The sequence below is a fragment of the Homo sapiens genome, chromosome 17 (genome assembly GCF_000001405.40).
Source record: "Homo sapiens chromosome 17, GRCh38.p14 Primary Assembly".
Lineage (NCBI taxonomy): Eukaryota > Metazoa > Chordata > Mammalia > Primates > Hominidae > Homo > Homo sapiens.
Window position 1 is genome coordinate 960,544 of NC_000017.11, and position 23,366 is coordinate 983,909.

Consider the following 23,366-nt stretch of genomic DNA (forward strand, 5'->3'; position numbering starts at 1 on the left):
ATGTTGTCCAGGCTGGACACAAGTCCCTGGGCTCAAGCGATGCTTCCACCTCAGCATCCTGAGTAGCTGAACTACAGGCACACACCACCATGCCTGGCTAATCATTTTATTTTTAGCAGAAACAAGGTCTTGCTATATTGCCCAGGCTGGCCTCAAACTCCTGGGCTCGAGTGATCCTCTCACCTTGGCCTCCCAAAGCACTGGGATTACAGGTGTGAGCCACCACGCCTGGCCAATTAACTCGATTTTTTTTTTTTTTTGAGATGGTGTCTCGCTCTGCCACCCAGGCTGGAGTGCAGTGGCGCAATCTCGGCTCACTGCAAGCTCCGCCTCCCAGGTTCAAGTGATTCTCCTGCCTCAGCTCCTGAGTAGCTGGGACTACAGGCACCCGCCACCACGCCCGGCTAATTTTTTCTATTTTTAGTAGAGACGGGGTTTCACCGTGTTCGCCAGGATAGTCTCGATCTCCTGACCTCGTGATCTGCCTGCCTCGGCCTCCCAAAGTGCTGGGATTACAGCCGTGAGCCACCGTGCCTGGCCAATTAACTCGATTTTTAATAGCTATTCAGGCTGGGCACAGTGGCTCATGCCTGTAATCCCAGCACTTTGGGAGGCTGAGGCAGGCGGATCACCTGAGGTCAGAAGTTCCTGACCAGCCTGGCCAACACGACAAAAGCCCTTCTCTGCTAAAAATACAAAAATTAGCCGGGTGTGGTGGCGCGTGCCTGCCACTTGGGAGGCTGAGGCGGGAGAATCGCTTGAACCCGGGAGGCAGAGGTTGCAGTGAGCCGAGATCATGCCATTGCACTCCAGCCTGGGCGACAGAGTGAGACTCCGTCTCAAGAAAAAAAAAAAAGAAAAAGAAATAGCTGTTCAACAAGACAGTAAGTATTGTAATTTACTTAACCCTTCCATGATTGTTAACATTCAGAGGATTTCCAGGGTCTCACTAGGATATACAGCTGTAAGGAATCTCTTCAGGAGGGCAAGGTAAAATGAGGTAAGCATCTTAACAGTTTTGTCCTAACCTACAGGATGTACATTTCATCTGCATTTATGACTAATTCAGATCATATTCTCACTTCTAAACTGACATTAATTCCCCTTCCCTTCTTAAATCAAGTCCTCCCTTAGGGCTCACTGAATCTTTGAAAAGTTTGCCTTTCATAATTTCTACTATCTATTTATTTAATTAACATTCCCATAGCAACCCTTTGACTTTTCTTAAGCAACTTGCTTACATGAACCTGCAACCAAATGAATTATAAATTTTCTCAGTGGCCTCATAAAGAAGAAAATAAGGAACATTAGCTGGGTGCAGTGGCTCACACCTGTAATCCCAACACTTTGCCAGGTGGAGGCGGGTGGATCACCTGAGGTCAGGAGTTCAAGACCTTCCTGACCAACATGGTGAAACCTCGTTTCTACCAAGAACACAAAAATTAGCCAGGCGTGGTGGCGCGTGCCTGTAATCCCAGCTACTCAGGAGGCTGAGGCAGGAGAATCACTTGAACCCGGGAGGTGGAGCTGCAGTGAGCCGAGATCGCGCCACTGCACTCCAGCCTGGGCAACAAAGTGAGATTCTGTCTCAAGAAAAGAAGAAAAGAAGGAACATTCAGGAAAACGGGGGAGAGTTGTGTGTAATAGTAGGTGAGAAGACTTTTGACATCATATTTGTACACTTTTCTCAAAGCAATAGATACATTCCTGAGACACTGCAGGTGAATTTTCCTAAGCAGAGGCAATCACAGGTTGAACACCTCTTAGGAGCTCACAATCTGAAACAACTAGGCATATTGCCTAACAAAACGAAGGTCCTTCTGTGATAAAAAGAGGATTCCCAGCCGGGCACGGTGACTCACGCCTGTAATCCCAAGACTTTGGGAGGTGGAAGCAGGTGGATCACTTGAGTCCAGGAGTTCGAGACCAGCCTGGACAACACGGTAAAACCCCGTCTCTACCAAAAATACAAAAATTAGCCAGTCTCATAACCCCATCTCAAAATAAATAAATAAATATTAGATTTTAAAAATGTGAATTGTCCCTGAATTTATCTATTTCATAACTTTGGATTTAAGGTGAGGTGGGTTTTTAAAAATACAGCAACCTTCAGTAAGTAAAAAAATCTATATTAAATACAAGTTGCCTAATACTAGTCCCCCACAAAAGCCACAGCATAATAGAAGTGCCCGGCACGGAGAAGGCTTTTGTCCCCATATACATCTGAATGCGCTTGGAAGCGGAGACTGATGGCCTCAGAGAATGAGCCTCTCAGCTTATCCAAACGGCAGAGCCCAGCGGCGGGAGTTTCACAGACACCATCTTCTCACTGCTTTCCATCAGTCCTAGAGGGGCCCCTCTCTAAGGACGGGGAAGCGGCTTTCAAAGGCCTCCTTTCGCCTGTTGTACACAGGGAGCACATCAGCCTGAGACATTTCCCATCTAAGGAGAGCGGTGGTTTGAGGGATTCTGTTCCTTGTCTCTAACTGTGTTGGGTTCATTATCAAGGCAGAAATCATACAAGGTTATCAGACAGGCACACACTGACACTTTTAGCCTCTACCCACCTGAGACAGAAAAAGCAGCACCTGTCAGGTTAGCCGAGGATATAACCAAGACCCATTTAAAAGGCTTGATTTAAAAAAAAAAAAAGGTATAGGTACTGGGACGGACACACACACACACACACACACACACCCCTTTCATTTTATTTGAAATTTTTTTTTTAACATACTGCCCTTCCAGAAAATAACAGTTAATTTAAAATGCTATATCCGGGCTAGGCGCAGTGGCTCACGTATGTAATCCCAGCACATTGGGAGGCCAAGGCAGGTGGATCGCTTGAGGCCAGGAGTTCGAGACCAGCTTGGGCAAAATAGTGAAACCCTCCTCTACAAAAAATAAAAACATCAGTCCGGTGTGGTGGGACACACCTGCAGTTCCCACTACTCAGGGGGCTGAGGTGGGAGGATCGCTTGAAACCAGGTGGCGGAGGTTGCAGTGAGCCAAGATCGCACCACTGCACTCCACCCTGGGTGACAGAACAAGACTCTGTCTCAGGGAAAAAAGGACAAAAAGGAAATTTTTTTTTTTAAAATGCTAAATTGATTTGCGCAAAAAACCATTTAAGCATATGTATTTTCATATGCAGTATATGCCTATTCTTTTTCTGGAAAAACATACCAGACACTACTAACAGTGATGTTATCTTTGGAAAGAGGATTATTGTTACAGTTAATAAATAAAATGCTGGGCCGGGCGCGGTGGCTCACGCCTGTCATCCCAGCACTTTGGGAGGCCGAGGAGGGCAGATCACGAGGTCAGGAGATCGAGACCATCGTGGCTAACGTGGTGAAACCCCGTCTCTACTAAAAATACAAAAAATCAGCCGGGCGTGGTGGCGGGCGCCTGTAATCCCAGCACTTTGGGAGGCTGAGGCAGGAGAATGGCGTGAACCCGGGAGGCGGAGCTTGCAGTGAGCCGAGATCGCGCCACTGCACTCCAGCCTGGGCGACAGAGCAAGACTCCGTCTCAAAAACAAAAACAAAAAATGCTGGCTCTCTCTTGCAGATGGAAAACAGTGAACACAGAGAAACATGGCGTATGAAGTCATGCTGAGCAGAGGAATATAAATGGCTTTCTAATGTAAACAGTCAGCAGGAAAGCCATAATTTGTGCTGCATGTACAGAGACAGATAAATCCCTGTCTCCTCATGAACACACACCGTGTTTTGTTGTAAGGATCTCTATTTGCCTGAACTGTTGGCTCAGGGGCAGAACAGATCCAGAGGATCTCAGAAAAAATGTCACTAATTTCTTCACAAGAAAGAAGGGCTTCAAAAAGCGCTTCAGAACTAGAGTGTTCCACCCCAGTCTCTGCAAATTAATACTTTCCGCAAATCCAAATGAAAGAGAATATGTTCACGTGGTATTAAGTAGCATTTTATTCTTAAGAACATTTGTAAAAAGCTTAAAGCAACGCATCCAAGGGTTGAAGCCGGGACTTTCTGCAAATTTAGGAAACTGATTTCCCCCCAGGAAAATGTCTGAAGGCATTTACTTCCAATTCACCCTCACGCCTACATCTGAAATGTCAGAATCCTTAGGTGCCAAACTGCAATGTATATTACAGATTTGTGTGTAACTTTAGGTGGTCAAAGACACTTGTGTAAGAAAAGAAACCTATTTCAAAGTAAGGTAAAATTCATGAAATAAATGGACTGAGTCACCCTAAAATATTAAGAAAAACATCTATCAGCACAAGGACAGTGGGCTGCTTTGCAGCTAGTGACTGTCTATGGATAATTTTGAAACAAAATGCCACACTTAATTAGCCAGCGGGCTTCGCATCCTGTGTGTGACGGAGAGAATGGTATTAAGAAAAAGACTCCCTCAGGCTCCATTAATGCCCTAATGAGAGGAGGCGGGGAGAGGGGTGTTGGGTAGAGGGCAGGGCAGTCAGGATTACCACATGGCCCTCAGGAAGTACAAGCTCTGCGCCTTCTGGACAAATGGGGGACTCTCAACCGCACACTGACTATTGGGCGTATCTAGCCAGCTATTTCCACAGGGTCCTCTGCAGGAAACAATTGTACCCACACTCCACACATGCCCAGCAGATAAAGCAGTTCTCAGATTACATCCAAGAGGGAGAACGTGGGCCTTAAGCTCACTTAACCGTCATCCGTGATTTCGTGACCAGCAACCCACCGACGGAGGGAGTCTCGATTTTCAAAAAGACAAAAGTGGGAGATTCTCCAGATGGCAGAGAGCTGGACTCGACATCAACCCTTCAACAGACCTTCCGGCTTACTTTAGTTATCACACACACTTAGGAAAAGAAGGGATCTGTTAGAAGCAAGCATGCATTCACCAAACACACGTCATTTCAGACTATCTTTCCTTGAAAACTATCAATAGGAACTATCTAAGTGATAGCAAGCTGTCTGTGAGGGCCTCCTACAATAAACATGCTGATCACACCGAGGAGTGTGGGCTGAATCATAATCCAATCAGGGCAAGTTTGGAATCGGCTGGATTTGAAGACGGCTGAGCAACTGACTAACAGACTCCTCCTAGCCTGGAGAAGGTGTCTAGCGGCATAACCCCCCAACTCTATCCCCAGACTCAGGCTAATCAACATTTTTATCAACTGCTTGTATAAACAACAGTCTAGCAGGGACCACATAACACAGAGCTAAGAAGGGGCTTTGATGACTGTAGGTGATCACATCAGCCTGTAGTCCCAGCTACTCGGGAGGCCGAGGCAGGAGAATGGTGTGACTTCAACAGACAGGGCACAGTGACTCACACCTATAATCCCAGCACTTTGGGAGGCCGAGGTGGGGAAAACATGAAGTCAGGAGTTCGAGACCAGCCTGACCAACATGGTGGAACCCTGTCTCTACTAAAAATACAAACAATTAGCTGGGTGTGGTGGCGGGCACCTGTAGTCCCAGCTACTCGAGAGGCTGAGGCAAGAGAATCACTTGAACCTGGGAGGCAGAGGTTGCAGTGAGCTGAGATGGCACCACTGCACTCCAGCTTGGGCAACAGGAGCAAAATTCTGTCTCAAAAAAAAAAAAAAGAAAAGAAAAGTGAATGCAATGAGATCTCGCGACATGGTAACAGAAGTCTACATAACATCTACAACAAGCTTGTCCAACCCACAGCACGCGGACACATGTGGCCCAGGACAGCTTTGAATGGGGCCCAACACAAATTTGTAAACTTTCTTAAAACATTATGAGATTTTTTTGCTATTTGCTTTTTTTTTAGCTCATCAGCTATCACTAGTGTTGTCAGCATTTTTTTTTCTTTTGAGATGGAGTTTCGCTCTTGTTACCCAGGCCGGAGCGCAGTGGCACGAATTTGGCTCACCGCAACCTCCGCTTCCAGGGTTCAAATGATTCTCCTGCCTCAGCCTCCCGAGTAGTTGGGATTGCAGGCATGCGCCACCACGCCCGGCTAATTTTGTATTTTTAGTAGAGACGGGGTTTCTCCATGTTGGTCAGGCTGGTCTCAAACTCCTGACCTCAGGGGATCCGTCGACTTCAGCCTCCCAAAGTGCTGGGAATACAGACATGAGCCACCACGCCCGGCTGGTGTTCGCATATTTTATGTGTGGCCCAAGACAATTCTTCTTCCAACGTGGCCCAGGGAGGCCAAAAAATTGGGCAACAAAGGAGGTAGGGCAGCCAGCTGCCCTCTGTGCCTGGACAGACCACACTGGAGTCTGCATTCAGGTGGGGGGATGACTGTTGGGGGGGTGGGGCAGACAATCTTGGAGGGTGCTTGGATCTGAATGGCCTGGGTGGGGGGGAAGGGTGAACCCACATCACAGGAGAAATGCTCCAAGGACCAGGGGACTCTCCCTGGGGAGAGAGAAGAGTTGTCTGCAGTTCTTCACGGCCCAGCGGTCCCCTGGGAGAGGACGGCTGAGGTCAGAATGGACTTCCTCAGGAGATGGTGTGTTGGGGTCACTGGAAACACCCCACACAGAGACGGTGACCGTAGGGGCCACTCTCCCTCAGTAATACACCCTGATTTTTCTTGACAAGCCCCCCCACAGCCCCCAGGCCTGAGGCTCAGTCCACCTGGCTTGGGACCCCAGCCTCCAGCTACACAGGTGTGGACACAACTCAGGCTTGGCCCTTTGGTATTTACACATCCCGGCCACAGTGACCAGTTATGGGATCAAGGGCGACCATGCCGGACTCCTGCTGCTGGGAGTCTGGGAGGACAGGAAGCAGGCTCAGAACTGCCGATGGTCCTCAGGCCACTAGGAGATGAGGAACAGCCTGCCAGAGGCCAGGGCGCAGAGACAGGCGGGGCGGGGAGATGGGCAAGGACCTGCCCCAGGACGGCATCTGTGCCACCCGGGCCTAAAGCTGACCTATATCTGGACCTCTCACCCACAGGAAACTCAGACCCTTCTGAACCCAGGAGTTGATATTCTACACACCTAGATAAGGCAGAAAACAGGGCTCAGAAAAGTTCAGGAATGTGGCAAGGAGGCAGACCCAGGGACAGGACCAAGTTAAATGGATAAGAACAACAAATAAATTGCAAGGAAAAGCAGGGAAGGGAAACTATAGGTTAAAAGAGGCTTAAGGGATACAGCTACCAAATGTAATGGGCAAATTTTATTTGGATTCAAACAAACCAACTGTCATCCCAGCACTTTGGGAGGCCGAGGCAGGTGGATCACGAGGTCAGGAGATCAAGACCATCCTGGCTAATATGGTGAAACCCCATCTCTACTAAAAATACCAAAAAATTAGCCAGGCATGGTGGCGGGCACCTGTAGTCCCAGCTACTTGGGAGGCTGAGGCAGGAGAATGGTGTGAACCCAGGAGGCGGAGCTTGCAGCAAGCTGAGATCGCGCCACTGTACTCTAGCCCAGGCGACAGAGCGAGACTCCGTCTCAAAAAAAAAAAAAAATTAGGAGACAATCAGGAAAATGTGAATACTAACTGGATATTTGCTGAAACTAAAGAACTGATGGATTTCTTGGGTGTGATATTGTGGTTATGTTTTTTAAGGGTTACTTAGTGAAATGCTTATGAAGGAAATGAGATGACGGCTGGGACTATCTTCAAGATCATTGAGGAGGTGGGGGTGGGGGCAGTAGGTGTCCTTGAGTTGATGACTGTTGAATGTGGGTGGATATGTGGGGATTCACTGAACTGCTTTCTCTACCTGCATGATATTTAAAGTTTCCCAAAATAAATAATATTAAGAGACATATGCACAGACCAGTATCTCCCCCTGGCCTCTCCCAGCTCAAAAGAGGGTGCGGGATCCATTCAGTAAAACCGAGCACCTGATTAGTCAAAGAGATGATCTAGAATTACACCCATATGCAAAGATACACAGATGCAGCCCGGCGTGGTGGTGCACACCTGCATTCCCAGCTACTCGGGAGGCTGAGGTGGGAGGACTGCCTGGGCCCAGGTCAAAGCTGCAGTGAGCCCTGACTGTGCCACTGCACTCTAGCCTGGGCAACACAGCAAGAGCTCTCTCACACAAACAAGCAAACAATCAAAGACACAGATGTCATCAAATCAACAACTGACAGACAATTATTGTCCTAGAAGGAAAATGAAGAGAGGCCAGGCATGGTGGCTCACGCCTGTAATCCCAGCACTCTGAGAGGCTGAGGCAGGCGGATCGCTTGAGGTCAGGAGTTCAAGACCAGCCTCGTCAAGATAGTGAAACCCTGTCTTTATTAAAAAGACAAAATGAGCCAGGCGTGGTGGCGGGCACCTGTAATCCCAGCTACTCAGGAGGCTGAGGCAGGAGTATCGCTTGAACCTAAGAGGCAGAGGTCACAGTGAGCTGAGATCGTACCACTGCACTCCAGCCTGGGAGACAGAGAGAGACACGGTCTCAAAAAAAAGAAAGAAAGAAAGAAAAAGAAAAGAAAAGAAAGAAAAGAAGCAAAAAAATGAAGAGAAACCAGGTTCTGTGATAGTCTCTAGATACAAATAAATAACTAGGTGCTTTGGAATGGGGGAGGGGTACAAAGAGGTAAAAAGGCTGAATTCCTCTCTCTTATAATCCAAATAACCATAAAATGTGGAATGAATACCGAAGCGCCTGGTAAACATTTAAACGGCACGTGCTATGCACCAGGCACCATCCTAAGTACTTGTCAAATATTATGTCATTCAATCCTTAACAACCACCCTAAGAGGCTGGTACCATCATCTCCATTTTACTCACCAGGAAACTAGAGACACAGAAATTCCAGAACTGGCCCCAAAGTCACACCCCCGGGAAACAGCCAAGTTTCCAACCCGGGAAACCTGGATCTGGATTTCCAGTCTATATTCTTCGTCTACTATGGAACACACTTTAAATATTCACATACCATAATGGAGTATTTTTGAAAGATCACGGGTAAAAACAATTTTTACAATTGCAGTCAAGAACATGCCCAGAGCTGGAAAACGCTGCACTCACAGCTACATTCACGCCTATTCGGGGCTCCGGCGGTCACACTGCGATTTTTCCCTATTGCACGTGGTCCCGCCCAATCTTCAGATTTCACATCAAAACCTGAAAAATGAGTAACAGATGAGGCAGCTGTGCTGTGAGCCACCACGATCAAAAGAAAACCGTCTTGACCTGATCACGTTTAACGGGAGGAAAAGCAGCGCCTTCTGATTTTAAACAGATTAAATCCATCCAGATTTTTATCCCAGGCATATTGACCAAAAAAAGACAAATTAAAAAAAAATGTGGAACTGATGCATCTGGATGAAATTCTCCCAGGAAAACAAAGAGAAAGCCCTATCCCTAGGACAGCAGAACTCACCACACCCTGTTTGGTGACTGTTCGACAACGATATGAGATAAAACCGTCATTCACTGTAGAAACAGCACTTGAATTTACCTGTAATTGGTGCCTGTACTGAGACACCCTGGGGAGCAGGGGGAGAGGCTGACGGATTGGACAGAAGGAAGCGACGAAGTGAAGCTTACGTTGTTTTTTTAAAAGGACTTTCTGATGTAGTTCATACAAAAATACACTGTGTATCTGGTCCAAGAGTTATGACCGGCAAGCCGCAGAAAATTTACGTTTGCTTTTAATCACGGAGGCCACAGAACAAAACTTTCCATGACGGGTCTCACTCCCGAGTAACGGCACTGGGCTTCTGCCTCGTCGTGGTGCAGAAAGCACAGGTTTGAGATTTCACTGGAAGTTGGAACGGCAGTTTCTGCAAACCTCATAAAAGGGAGGACTGATTTAGTCCTAGGATCTCGGCAGGACACCTGAAGTTCAATTTTGTCTCTGAACAAAAAGCACTACAGCAGCCTGCAGGCTTTCCGTAGGATGAAGGGGGAGTTGGGGGGCCCTTCACTGGAGGAACTAAAAAAAAGCCAAATCATTAAAAAGGCCCTTAGAAAAAAAAACACCACCATGGAAAAAGGCAGCAAGAGAGAAGAGGTTCTCGCTCTCCTGCCTTCCAAGCAACCAGCGAATGTTTCAAGCCGTTCAACTACCTCTGTCTTATCTCAGAGCGGTCCCTGCACACCTAGAGGAAGAAAGCCACCTGAAGAGGCTTGCTGCTCCTCCTCCTCCATGCGGAACGTTTGATGTGAGTATTTTTTAAGGTACAATTCCGTGAACAGAAAGGACCAAGTTGAATTTAAGGGAGTTCAGCCAAGCTCTTTCATCCAACACTGTGACCCTGATCTAATAATCGGTGCTCTTTGCTTCAATTCTCCAGCTCTAACATACTTGGAAAAGTTAAAACGGTGAATATCTACTGATTACTAGTTGCTGGAAGACGTAATATGTACGCATTTTGAGTTCTTTGGAAGAAAGATGCTAGAGAAATGCAAACAATGAAATATTAAAGCATGGCATGACAGGTCTGCAGATATGAGACTCTTTTTTTTTTTTTTTTTTGACACGGAGTTTCACTCTTATTCCCCAGGCTGGAGTACAGTGGTGCGATCTCGGCTCAATGCAACCTCCGCCTCCAGGGTTCAAGTGATTCTCCTGCCTCAGCCTCCTCAGTAGCTCGGATTACAGGCATGCACCACCACACCCGGCTAATTTTGTATTTTAAGTAGAGACAGGGTTTCTCCACATTGGTCAGGTTGGTCTAGAACTCCCAACCTCAGGTGATCCGCCCACCTCGGCTTCCCACAGTGCTGGGATTACAGGCGTGAGCCACCGCGCGTGGCCGAGTCTCTTTTAATAGACTCAGATATTTGACATTTCAAAAATGGAGAGTCAAGCTTTTTCCTATTTTTGAGCACAGAATCACACGGCAATCCAGTTGCACAAGAAGCTGCTGGGACTCACCCAGCTGTGACATCCATTTGCTCATTTAGTCCTCTTTAAAACACTCATTGAGAAACAAAAACAGACCGAGCGCGGTGGCTCACGCCTGTCATCCCAGCACTTTGGGAGGCCGAGGCAGGTGGATCATGAGGTCAGGAGTTCAAGACCATCCTGGCTAACACGGTGAAACCCCGTCTCTACTAAAAACACAAAAAATTAGCCGGGCGTGAGGGCGGGCACCTGTGGTCCCAGCTCCTCGGGAGGCTGCGGCAGGAGAATGGCGTGAACCGGGAAGGCGGAGCTGGCAGTCAGCCGAGATCGCGCCACTGCACTCCAGCCTGGGTGACAGAGCGAGACTCCATCTCAAAAAAAAAAAAGAAAGTCAGGATTCACAAAGATTCCAAATTCATAGCGATTTTCCTTGATTGTCTTGGAATACGCATAAACGGTAAATTCAATGCAACACAGAAAACTAAGCACCTTGGTGGTTCACACCATGCACCACTGGGAATTCAGATCATGAAGAAAGAAAACACATCCTGGCCGGGCGCCGCAGCTCACGCTGTGATCCCAGCACTTTGGAAGCCGAGGCGGGTGGATCACCTGAGGTCAGGAGTTCAAGACCAGCCTGGCCAACATGGTGAAACCCTGTCTCTATTAAAAATATAAAAATTGGCCAGTCACGGTGGCTCACACCCGTAAGCCCAGCACTTTGGGAGGCCAAGGCAGGCGGACCACCTAAGGTTGGGAGTTGGAGACCAGCCAGACCAACATGGTGAAACCCCATCTCTACTAAAAATACAAAATTAGCCGGGCGTGGTGGCACATGCGCCTATAATCCCAGCTACTCGGGAGGCTGAAGCAGAAGAATTGCTTGAACCCAGAAGGCAGAGGTCACGGTGAGCTGAGATGGTGTCATTGCACTCCAGCCTGGGCAACAAGAACAAAACTCCATCTCAAAAAAAATTTAAAAAATACAAAACTTAGCCAGGCGTGGTGGCTGGCGCCTGTAATCCCAGCTACTCGGGAGGCTGAGGCAGGAGAATCGCTTGAACCCAGGAGGCGGAGGTTGCAGTGAGCCGAGATCGCGCCACTGCTCTCCAGCCTGGCAGAGCGAGACTCCATCTGAAAAAAAAGAAAAAGAAAAAAAGGAAAGAAAACACATCCTATGCCAAGCCTGTGCTCTCCTGGCCAAAATGAAATCATGCAGGAAGGATCCCACCTAGTTCACAACGGGACGAGCTGGAGCCCTGGAACCCTGATCACTGTCAGGAAAAAGGAAGATCCCCAAGGGGTTTGTTCAACCCCGACCCCAGCTGTGCACAAAGCCTGTTTTCTCAAATGTGTGTGCACATTACAACACCTTCCCAACAAAAGGTAGGAATATTTTAAAACGTAGAATCAGGGCCGGGTGCGGTGGCTCACGCCTGTAATCCCAGCACTTTGGGAGGCTGACGCGGGTGGATCACGAGGTCAGGAGATCGAGACCATCATGGCTAACACGGTGAAACCCCGTCTCTACTAATAATACAAAAAATTAGCCAGGGGTGGTGACGGGCCCCTGTAGTCCCAGCTACTCGGGAGGCTGAGGCAGGAGAATGGCAGGAACCCGGGAGGCGGAGATTGCGGTGAGCCCAGATCGCTCCACTGCACTCCAGCCTGGGCGACAGAGCGAGACTGCGTCTCAAAAAAAAAAAAAAAAAGGTAGAATCAAATCAGTGACCCTAACTTCCAGGGCTTGCCTCTGTGCTCTAGCTCACATTCCAACCCGTGTCAGAAGACAAATCGATCAGCAAGAGCTGTGGACGGCTACTCAGAGGCAGGCCTGAGCTGCTAACTGGGAGATGAGTACCAAACCAGCAATGCCTACATGTCTGAGCAAACCCATCCCGCAGCATTCCAGAGCTGGGACGGGAGGCAGGTCCACGCTAGAGGTGGCGTTTCTACAGCTCCAGAGATGAGCACCCTCCATTTCCCACGCGAAACAGCAGTCTTTCAACCTCTACACCGCCCAGAGTTAAGCAAACAGGGTCAGCGGAAGACACACCTAATAGCTTTGGGAAACCACAAAATGATTGCTTTGTGCGTAATTTCTCTCAAGAAGAGTGCCTGATCATCTTTAAGTTACAAGGGTGACTGAAAGGGTAACTTAATAGTAACTTAAATCTTTCCCAGGCTTCGTCGATCAGCAGCAGTCTGGAGCGTCATTGGCAGATAGAAATACAGAGCTCAGTAAGTATCAGTAATATCCCGGGACTTTAAGGCACTGTATTTGTTGTTTCATTCTTCTAGGTCTTTCTTCGCAGTTATAATCTCTTATGGGGCAATTTTTTTTATTTAATTTTTTTTTTCCAAGACGGAGTCTTGCTCTGTCACCCAGGCTGGAGTGCCGTGGCCCGATCTCAGCTCACTGCCAACTCCACCTCTCGGGTTCAAGCGATTCTCCTGCCTCAGCCTCCCGAGTAGCTGGGAGTACAGGTGTGTACCACCACACCTGGTTAATTTTGTATTTTTAGTAGAGATGGGGTTTCACCATGTTGGCCAGGCTGGTCTTGAACTCCTGACCTCAAGTGACCCACCCACCTCGGCCTCCCAAAGTGCTGGGATGACAGGCGTGAGCCACAGTGCCCGGCCATTGTAGGGCAATTTTTTTGACACCTTCATCAAATCCCCTTGTATGCTTGTAAAAGTCATTGGTTTGAAAAGTTTAAAAATATACCTCATGCCGGGCGCGGTGGCTCATGCCTGTAATCCCAGCACTTTGGGAGGCTGAGCTGGGCGGATCACGAGGTCGGGAGATCGAGACCATCCTGGCTAACACAGTGAAACCCCGTCTCTACTAAAAATACAAAAAAAATTAGCCAGGCGTGGTGGTGGGCGCCTGTAGTCCCAGCTACTCAGGAGGCTGAGGCAGGAGCATGGCGTGAACCCGGGAGGCGGAGCTTGCAGTGAGCCGAGATCGCACCACTGCACTCCAGCCTGGGTGACAGAGCGAGACTCCATCTCAAAAAAGTATATAGATATATATATATAGATATATGGATATACCTCATAACCGTTTTACAGTTCAGTAATGTGATAGATTCCCAAGGCTCAAGCTATGAAATGAATGACTAAACTTAATGATCATTTATCTAAACACAATAATAGCATTTATTGAGCACTCACCACATGCCAGGCACGTGTATATTATCTCGCGTAGCCTTTACACAATAAGGCAGGTGCTGTTATCACAAATGGAAAAGGAACGTGTGGTACAGAGATGTACAGCGCCTTGCACAAGGACACACAGCTAATAAACGGCAGAGCGGGGGCGTGAACTCAAGCAGAAGGACAAAAGACTCTATATTTTTAGCCATGTATTAGACTGCCTTATTATGCAGAGAAAAAACAAAGAGATTAAAAAATATATTACAAATGATGGAACAAGAAAAAGCCTCTCAAGGAACATTGCTCTTATTACTTTATTTTTATTTATTTATTTATTTATTTATTTATTTAATACAGGGTCTTGCTGTGTTGTCCTGGCTGGAGTGTAGTGACACAAACATGGCTCACTGCAGCCTCCACCTCCTGGGTTTAAGCAATCCTCCTGCCTCAGCCTCCCGAGTAGCTGGGACCACAGGTACCCACCACTGTGACCAGCTAATTGTTATTTTTTGCAAAGACAATGTTTCACCATGTTGCCCAGGCTGGTCTCAAACTCCTAGGCTCAAGTGATCCCCCCACCTTGGCCTCCCAAAGTGCTGAATTACAGGTGTGAGCCATCACACCCGGCCTGCTCCTAACTGGACTGTTGTCCTTTATTACTAAAAGACTGGCCCAAGTCCTAGAAACACAGTCACCAGTGGGAGCCTGTCCTGGCTGGTCCGGGCTTCTTATGAAGAAGGCAGAAAATCCTAATTTTCAAATCTGCACCTTTTTGCCATCTTTTCCCACCTTGAAAGTGAATGCAAAGAAAAGATACAGTGGTGTCACAGCAACTGTTCTCTTCCTGGCTGCAGTGTTTGGATTCAAGGAAGAGTGGCAGAGCTGGAGTTGTAAGAATGTTGAGGTTGCTACCAAATCCTGTCCCACCCATAGGGCCAAAGGGATTCAAGTAAATTCTCAGCCAAGCTTCTCATTGAGTCTGAACTGAAAGAACCACCCAGAGCAGCCAGAGTGAGACTCCACTTCCCCTGGCTGGAGCAGGCTGACCAGGGATACTGGACCAGGGTCCCCTGACTCTGCAGACTTTCTCTTCCCCTTTGTCATGCAGGAAGTCCTGGGGCCACACCAGAGCCTCACAAAACTGTCCAGAGGAAGCCAGTGGTCTGCACCCTTGGATGTCAGTGCACCCACACTGACCATATGTTTTTGATCAGGCATCCAGCCCAGACAAAGTTGAGCTCTGCGACTTTAACACCAAAAGAGTGCTCACTTCTATGAGGCTGAAGTGGATCCCGGAGACGGACCTCTCCAGTCTTGACGAGTGAGTAACATACTAATCCAAAGGGAAGACCAAATCCCCAAAGTCCAAATTTCACCACCTCCTGACTATCGATCACATTCCTTCTCTCTAGAAATGTGAAAATCATCTACCAACCTACTTATTAAAACAAGTCTAACTGCCTTAACTTCAGGATTATAGATTTGCTGATGAAATTGTTATAAATGCTCTCAAAGTTCTATTACCATCTAATTACAATTTATGCACAGCTATATAATAATGTGTGTTTTGGAAGCTGAAATAATATGTGTTTTGGAAGCCAAAAAAATTAAGCTTCAATTACTTTTGTACCTACCATGACAACAGGCAGAAACAGGACAATTTTGTATAAAGAATGTTTTTTTACATTTTTGTCCTTTTTTTTTTTGGTGTTTTCTCACAGTTCCTGTCAAGGTGAGAGGAACCAGGCAAAATGCAGGCTTAACATATACGGTCATCCCCAGGTTTTTTTTAACTATATAAAGGAGAAATTAATAAAAGAAAAAAAGAAATACCACACAGCATTTTCTTTCCCCACCATAATTTTTCAATTTTCTTTAGAGAAATGCCAGCCAATAACTAATTAGAACCATACCCTTTGTTATCCCAATGGGAAGAAGTATACGCATGGGCTTAAAGAACAAATGTTAATGAGAATTTAAAAAAAATTAGCAATCTGGAACTCTGGTTTCCCTTCAGTGTAAAACAAAATTCCCTTCTCTAGAGTTATTTTTATCATTGGCGAAATGACACGGATAGAGTCCATCCACAAGACGTGTTCACCCATCCAGTGCCCTCAGCTGGGAGAACTCCGGCTCTTCACTTGTTCTGATGGGGAAATTAGCATCATTAGCTCACGGGCTTCTAAGCACCCTAACTTCAAATGAGACAAAAACTCAGTTACAGAAAAGGCATTTGTTCCACATCTCTTTGGTTTCAAGGGGGAAAATAATTCCTTTTTTTTTTTTTTTGAGACAGAGTTTCGCTCTTGTTGCCCAGACTGGGGTGCAATGGTGCGATCTCGGCTCACCGCAACCTCCGCCTCCCAGGTTCAAGCGATTCTCCTGCCTCAGCCTCCCTAGTAGCTGGGACTAGAGGCATGCGCCACCAGGTCTGGCTAATTTTGTATTTTTAGTAGAGACGGGGTTTCTCCATGTTGGTCAGGCTGGTCTGGAACTCCCGACCTCAGGTGATCCGCCCACCTCAGCCTTCCAAAGTGCTGGGATAACAGGCATGAGCCACCGCACCCGGCAATAATTCCTTTTAAAATCAGCACGTAGCTTTTGTAATTTCCAAGAGTATGTGTTCCATAAGAAGGACAGCTGGAGTCTTTTTACCTGGTATATATCCCCGAGAAAGATCTTGAGTGGTTTGTTCACGACCAAGGAAAGAAACTACCTCCTTGAAAACTGGACTGGTTTTAGAGAATAAAGTATAGGATGTGAGTCAGAAAAACTCTGGGCCAAAAAATAAAATGTTTAAGATGCTAACGCACCAGGGTTTGGGCACGTCCAGCACTCTCAACGGTATTTTCAAATGAGAGTCTGCCCTGTGTCATCCAGGTTCTCATCATGGAGGAATCAGCAGGTCCAGGCTAGGGCCGCAGAATACTTTTTGTCATGCAAAGAGCCTGTCCAGGGTATAGAGAGCCAGCCATGGCCCATGTCCTATCAAATATTCTCCTTTTTCGGAAAAAGCTCTAAGCATTTGCAAAACATCTGTTTGCTCCATATTTTTACTATCCAAAAAATGTATTTCCTCTTCAGTAAAAAACACAACAATAGGCTGTTAAGCCTGTAACATTTTACCATAATTCTATGTTTTCAAAAGCTAGAAATCATTTGTATTGCCGGATAAGGACATTATTTTAAGTAGACTTTAGTCTACAACAGAAACTTGCCGTAACAATGAAAATGTTTTTTGGCAAATCCCTTTCTGAACATTATTTCTCCACGAACGTATCACAAAAACCACCACCAAGGAAAACAAAGGATTCTCGTATTTTGAATCAAAAAGTACTGGCCATGCATATTCATACTATATCAAGCATGTCAATCAAAATGGGCAAAATAACCTAAAAAGCAGTAAAAATGCCAACTCTTGCCTCTGAGTGGTTAGTGAACCTATGTTTTCCCAATATGAAATTTACAAACTGCATCGGATCAACTGTATTTCATACTTTAAATCTCGAATCTCTACCTCCCACTGCTTCGGGATGGATGATTTACTCAAGACATTTGGGGTCACAGTGTAAGCCTTTTGCTCCCAGTAAATCTAAATCATGCTTCTCAACAAGATTCTGCACATATAAAAGGAACACGTGGCACGCCTCGCCATGCTCCCCAGAGGAAACTAAACGCCCCCAGAATAGCCCTTCTGTCCACTCCAGAAACAGGCTTTCCTCAAAAAGGGAAAGGGGCTGGATTCACACGTTGCATCATATACACTCACGAAGCAACAGCGCTCCAAAACTTTTTCTGACTCCATTCATTACAAAATGTCCTGGATGTGCTTTATTATCACAGAGACAGACATCCTCACCCAAGGGACACACTCAGAAACCCAAACTCAACTCGGCAGCAAACTGGGAGACACGAGAAGTTGACAGCAAAGTATCCATTTCCCCAAATCCTCCTTCTTCCAGTCAATGTGCATCGATGGGGTCAGCTCAGCCCTTAACTCGAAGACCCCGGGACCACAGGGGCCACCACGCAGCTGAGCTCTGCACAGCCCGGGCTGTTCCCGCGCCCGGGAGGCGTCTGGGGAGGAGGCTGGACGGCCAGACAATGCAAAGCTCCCCGGTGGCCGCGAACTCAGCCTGGGGCGGGGGAGGCGGGGGCGGGAGACGGAGCCGTGAGCGCCCTTCTCGGCCACAGCCACGGCCACGGTCACCGGCCGCCTCTCCTGACCTCGGCCTCGGCCCCCAGGTCCCCGGTCCCCGGGGAAGGGGCTCCGGGAAGGCAGGTTTCTCCCGGAAAGAAAGGAAACGCGCTGGTTTGGGCGCCACGGGCGGGGGGCGTGCGCCCTCCCCTCCCCTCCCCTCCCCACTGTGGGAATCCGCGGGGGTCGGCGGCGGAGGCAGGAAGGGCCTGGCGCCTCTGCTCGCGGGTGAAGGGGTCGCGGAACCGGGATCCCCGAGCGCAGCCGCCCCCACCCGAGGCTCCCAGCGTGTGCGGACGGAGGGGCTCGAGCCGGGATCCCGGGGGCCGAGGGGGGTCCAACTTTCCAGGGCGGGCGCAGCGCAGCACTCGAACCAAAGAGGGGTCCTGGGATGAGGGTGCGGGCACAGCGCGGAAGGGGGGGGGGCAGAGGCGGGGACGGCGGGGTGGGGGGCGGGGAGAGGACAGTGGGTCGGGGGGCGGGGGACTGGGGGCAGGGGTCGGGGGGTGGAGGGCGGGCAGGGGGACAACGGGGTTGGCGGAGGGCAGGGGTAACGGGCGTGGGGGGCGGGCAGGGGTAACGGGCGTGGGGGGCGGGCAGGGGCCGGCGAGGCCCGCGCCGCTCACCTTCCTGTGCTTCTCCTTGTAGGGCAGCGCCAGCCACGGCATGTCCCGCACGAAGTCCTGCCACTGCCGCTGGTCCTGGTCCGAGGACACGAAGACGATCTCCAGGCGCCGCCGCGGCTCGGGCTCCGCCGCCGCCCCGGCCCCCGCTCCCGGCCCCGGCCCGGCCGCCGCGTCCCCCCGCAGGCGCCCGTAGAAGGCGGCCAGGCTGGCGCTGAGCTGCGCGCAGGGGGCGCTGAGGCTGCAGCCGAAGTAGAGACCCAGCAGCGAGATGCCGCGGGCGCCCAGCGAGTGCACGTCCACCTCCTCGCCGCCGCCCGTCACCAGCTTCTCGCCGAGCAGCTCCTCCAGGAAGCCCGACATCCTGGCCCACCGCAGGGCGGGCAGGCGGCTGCGACCCCGCTCCACGGTCCGCGCGGCGGGAGGAGGCGGCGGCGTCGGCGGCAGGCGCTGGGGAGAGCAGAGCCCGGCCCAGTAGGGCCGCCCACGCCACGCCCCCTCCGCCTGCCCGCGCCACGCCCCTTCCCCCGCCCTGCCACGCCCCCTCCGCGGCCCGCGCCACGCCCCTTCGGCTGCCCTCGCCACGCCCCTCCGCCCGCCCTCGCCACGCCCCCTCCGCCCTCGCCACGCCCCGTTTGCGGCCGGCGGTGGCCAGAGCTCTCCGCCCAGGCGGGGTCCGCAGCTGCCGGCCGCGGTGCGCGGGGTGACTGCTTGGGCGAGAAGCCGGACCCGAAACGCCGCACTCTCCCTGGAAAGCCCACGGCCGAAGTGAAGAAAGGAGAAGGGCCCGCTGAGCCGGCGCTTTCCCGGGCTGCAGCCCGGCCCGCATTTTCTCTCCTCCCCAGTTCTAAATTCCCTCCAGACCTCCAGGGATCCCGCCCCCTCCCCGCGGAGCTCTTCACCCTCTTCCTGTTCCTCCCCGGCCTTTCCCTCCTCCTCTCCCTGCACGAAGCCTGACCCTTAGGCCGCTCCGGGCCCCACTGACCCTGAGATGCTTATAGGACCCGCCGTCCTCACTGCATCAGGCCGGGCCTGGCTGGACACTGACTCCTCTGTGTGTTCCAAGCTGTTCTAAGGGGGCCGAGGACGCCCTCGCAGCTTCTGGTGGGGTCTGGTTAGGGTGCCAGGTCTCAGTGTGGGATTTCCGTCCAGGGGTCGCCGGGGCCTCTCCCCCCAGCGAATCTGTCTTCCAGCCCCACAAATGGATGCAAAGGACGCCGCGGGGCCTCCAGACCAATGCTGGCCGCGCTCCTGAATCCGCTCCATCCTCATGTCAAGTCTATGGATAGTTGAGAACATTTCTAGAGATTTTTTTTTTCCTACCAGCTGGCAGGATGCTCCCCAATGCTTAGGGAGAAGCTGGATTAAACAGGTGGTCTGGGCCGGGCGCGGTGGCTCACGCCTGAATTCCCAGCACTTTGGGAGGCCGAGGTGGGTGGATCACAAGGTCAGGAGTTCGAGACCAGCCTGGCCAATATGGTGACACCCCCCCCCCGCCTCTACTAAAAATACAAAAATTAGCGGGGTGTAGTGGCAGGCACCTGTAATCCGAGCAACTCAGGAGGCTGAGGTAGGAGAATGGCGTGAAGCCGGGAGACGGAGGCTGCAGTGAGCCGAGATCGCTCCATTGCACTCCAGCCTGGGCAACAGAGCAAGACTCCGTCTCAAAAAAAACAAAAAAACAGGTGGTCCGTGGCGAGTACTCTGGCCACGCAGCGCCTCCCCCCAACCCAACCCACTGGTGCACGAAGCAGGTGCAGATCCGGGCCCAGCCACAGTAACAGGCCGCCGGTGTGGATCAGCTACTGACGACTCAGCGAAAGCAAAAAAATAAAAGCTGAAAACCCGCCCCTCTCAGAGCTTCCACCGCCGCTTCGGAGGATATTTCCTGTGCATCCATCGCCACCTAATGGAAAGAGTGAAAAATGAGGCCGACCAAACTCCATTTGTGAAAAGACACTGCCGGGACACCAGGCACAATGCTTTTATTTTACAGCAGCTTTCCACATACACAAATGATAGGACGCTTTGCGGGAGCTAATTTAAACCTCAGAATAGAACTTCAAGCTTTTGGCACAAAACGTAAGTGTTCACATCGAAGGTTCTCCGTTTTTCTAGGGTAGAATAAGGAATGGTGCAGGGTTCCAGCTTGGTGAAATGTTACCATATAAAACAATTGGGAGAGGTGGAGATGGGAGCGGAAAGTGGACTGGCGTCTCTACAAGTTATATCCACTTCCTTAGTCACCTGCTGGTATTGCTAATGACACAGGTAAGATCTTAGATGGAGGACCGCCTTCGAACACCCTAGAATCCTACTGCAAAGTCGAATTCCACCTTAATTCTCAGGAGACTTTCATGCTGAAAGTCTGTGCCACTGTAGGGACAATATTATAAAACACACACAGAAAGCATCACTTTTTAGTGAAAACTTTATTTATTTATTTATTTATTTATTTATTTATTTTGAGACAGTGTGGGCGGCAGGCCACCCAGGCGCTGAGGCAAGAGACCGAGGACACAAGCCGTTCCAGTGTAATAAAATATAAAATAAGAATAGTTATACCAGATATAGATCTTAGATAGGCTTATATATGAATATCATTAATCATTAGTTTGTAGCAATTACTCTTTATTCCCATATTATAATGATCCTCGCTCTATAATCATAATCTAGGGAAAACCAGGCCATACAGAGATAGGAGCTGAGGGGACATAGTGAGGAGTGACCAGAAGACAAGAGTGCGAGCCTTCTGTTATGCCCAGACAGGGCTACCAGAGGGCTCCTTGGTCTAGCGGTAACACCAGCGTCTGGGAAGACACCCGTGGCCAGGCGGACTGTGGTGTAGCGGTAGCGTAAGTGTCAAGGAAAAACACCCGCTACTTAGCAGACCGGGAAAGGGAGTCTCCCTTTCCCCGGGGGGAGTTTAGAGAAGACTCTACTCCTCCACCTCTTGTGGAGGGCCTGACTGCAGGTTCGCCCACAATTATCCGGAGGCCTAACTGTCTCCCTGTGATGCTGTGCTTCAGTGGTCACGCTCCTAGTCCGCCTTCATGTTCCATTCTGTACACCTGGCTCTGCCTTCTAGATAGCAGTAGCAAATTAGTGAAAGTACTAAAAGTCTCTAATAATGGTGGAAGCTGTTTCTCTCTTTGTCTCCTCTCTCTCTCTGCCTCGGCTGCCAGGCAGGGAAGGGCCCCCTGTCCAGTGGACACGTGACCCACATGACCTTACCTATCATTGGAGATGGCTCACTCTCCTTATCCTGCCCCTTTGTCTTGTATCCAATAAATATCAGTGCAGCCTGGCATTTGGGACCACTACCGGTCTCCGCGACTTGGTGGTAGTGGTTCCCCAGGCCCAGCTGCCTTTTATCTCTTTGTCTTGTGTCTTTATTTCTACACTCTCTCGTCTCCGCACACGGGGAGAGACCCACTGACCCTGTGGGGCTGGTCCCTACAGACAGAGTCTCACTCTGTTGCCCAGGCTGGAGTGCAGTGGTGCGATCTCAGCTCCTGCAACCTCTGCCTACCAGATTCAAGTGATTCTCCTGCCTCAGCCTCTCGAGTAGCTGGGATTACAGGCATGCACCACCTCCCAAATAGCTGGGATTACTGGCATGCACTAATTTTTTTGTTTTGTTTTGTTTGTTTGTTTTTTGCAACAGAGTCTTGCTCTGTTGCCCAAGCTGGAGTGCAGTGGCGCGATCTCGGCTCACTGCAAGCTCCGCCCCTCCAGGTTTAAGCAATTCTCTGCCTCAGCCTCTGGAGTAGCTGGGATTACAGGCGTCCGCCACCAAGCCTGGCCAATTTTTTGTATCTTTAATAGAGACGGGGTTTTCACCATACTGGCCAGGCTGGTCTCAAACTCCTGGCCTCAAGTGATCCACCCGCCTCAGCCTCCCAAAGTTCTGGGATTACAGGCATGAGCCACCACCCGGCCTTGGTGAAAACATTTAAAGCTACTCATATCATATATATTAAGTTACTAGGCCAGGTGAGGTGGCTCACACCTGTAATCCCAATACTTTGGGAGGCCGAGGCGGGCAGATCATGAGATCAGGAGATTGAGACCATCCTGGCTAACACAGTGAAACCCCGTCTCTACTAAAAATACAAAAAATTAGCCGGGCGAGGTGGCGGGCACCTGTAGTCCCAGCTACTCGGGAGGCTGAGGCAGGAGAATGGCATGAACCCGGGAGGCGGAGTTTGCAGTGAGCCGAGATCGCACCACTGCACTCCAGCCTGGGCGACAGGGAGAGACTCCATCTCAAAAAAAAAAAAAAAGTATATATATACACACACACACACACACACACACACACACACATAGTTACTAGACATCTTTTGAAATCCTGTAAATGGGTTACAATGTTTTATCATCTCATCCAAATCTTATCTGAAAGGCCCATGCACTGGGTACGTGGGTTAGGCACTACTGAAAGAGTGTTAGAGTCCTACACTCTGACACTTTCAAAATTATGAAAACTACAGAAATGTAAAAGGGCTATCAGCATTTACCTGCTACGGCAGCCAAAGGGCAAGAGGCATTTGGTGTGGAGGCCGGTGAAGAGGGAATTTGGGGGGCTGCAAAT

General features: G+C 49.7%; 1 protein-coding gene across 3 annotated transcripts in view, besides 7 other annotated features; it reads right to left on the reverse strand.

The window, feature by feature from the left end:
- Positions 1 to 19,233, reverse strand: part of NXN (nucleoredoxin) — a 180,467-nt gene extending 161,234 nt beyond the window's left edge. For all 3 annotated transcript variants that reach the window (XM_005256756.5, NM_022463.5, XM_017024949.2), the window contains exon 1: positions 18,776 to 19,233. In XM_005256756.5, coding sequence (XP_005256813.1) covers positions 18,776 to 19,135 — 360 coding nt within the window. In that variant the 5' untranslated portion in view covers positions 19,136 to 19,233. The remainder of the gene's footprint in view (positions 1 to 18,775) is intronic.
- Positions 2,000 to 2,972: an enhancer, noted in NCBI's record as "NANOG-H3K27ac-H3K4me1 hESC enhancer chr17:865783-866755 (GRCh37/hg19 assembly coordinates)". NCBI's record gives its function as "activates a minimal SCP1, AML or CMV promoter by ChIP-STARR-seq in naive and primed H9 embryonic stem cells {active_cell/tissue: H9 hESC(naive and primed)}" and the evidence as "EXISTENCE:reporter gene assay evidence [ECO:0000049][PMID:30033119]".
- Positions 4,134 to 4,887: an enhancer, noted in NCBI's record as "H3K27ac hESC enhancer chr17:867917-868670 (GRCh37/hg19 assembly coordinates)". NCBI's record gives its function as "activates a minimal SCP1, AML or CMV promoter by ChIP-STARR-seq in naive H9 embryonic stem cells {active_cell/tissue: H9 hESC(naive)}" and the evidence as "EXISTENCE:reporter gene assay evidence [ECO:0000049][PMID:30033119]".
- Positions 4,888 to 5,641: an enhancer, noted in NCBI's record as "H3K27ac-H3K4me1 hESC enhancer chr17:868671-869424 (GRCh37/hg19 assembly coordinates)". NCBI's record gives its function as "activates a minimal SCP1, AML or CMV promoter by ChIP-STARR-seq in naive H9 embryonic stem cells {active_cell/tissue: H9 hESC(naive)}" and the evidence as "EXISTENCE:reporter gene assay evidence [ECO:0000049][PMID:30033119]".
- Positions 11,888 to 12,389: an enhancer, noted in NCBI's record as "H3K4me1 hESC enhancer chr17:875671-876172 (GRCh37/hg19 assembly coordinates)". NCBI's record gives its function as "activates a minimal SCP1, AML or CMV promoter by ChIP-STARR-seq in primed H9 embryonic stem cells {active_cell/tissue: H9 hESC(primed)}" and the evidence as "EXISTENCE:reporter gene assay evidence [ECO:0000049][PMID:30033119]".
- Positions 12,390 to 12,889: an enhancer, noted in NCBI's record as "H3K4me1 hESC enhancer chr17:876173-876672 (GRCh37/hg19 assembly coordinates)". NCBI's record gives its function as "activates a minimal SCP1, AML or CMV promoter by ChIP-STARR-seq in primed H9 embryonic stem cells {active_cell/tissue: H9 hESC(primed)}" and the evidence as "EXISTENCE:reporter gene assay evidence [ECO:0000049][PMID:30033119]".
- Positions 18,146 to 19,081: an enhancer, noted in NCBI's record as "H3K27ac hESC enhancer chr17:881929-882864 (GRCh37/hg19 assembly coordinates)". NCBI's record gives its function as "activates a minimal SCP1, AML or CMV promoter by ChIP-STARR-seq in naive H9 embryonic stem cells {active_cell/tissue: H9 hESC(naive)}" and the evidence as "EXISTENCE:reporter gene assay evidence [ECO:0000049][PMID:30033119]".
- Positions 20,506 to 20,800: an enhancer, noted in NCBI's record as "tiled region #9475; HepG2 Activating DNase unmatched - State 1:Tss, and K562 Activating DNase unmatched - State 12:CtcfO". NCBI's record gives its function as "activates a minimal TATA promoter and a strong SV40 promoter by Sharpr-MPRA in HepG2 and K562 cells {active_cell/tissue: HepG2 | K562}" and the evidence as "EXISTENCE:reporter gene assay evidence [ECO:0000049][PMID:27701403]".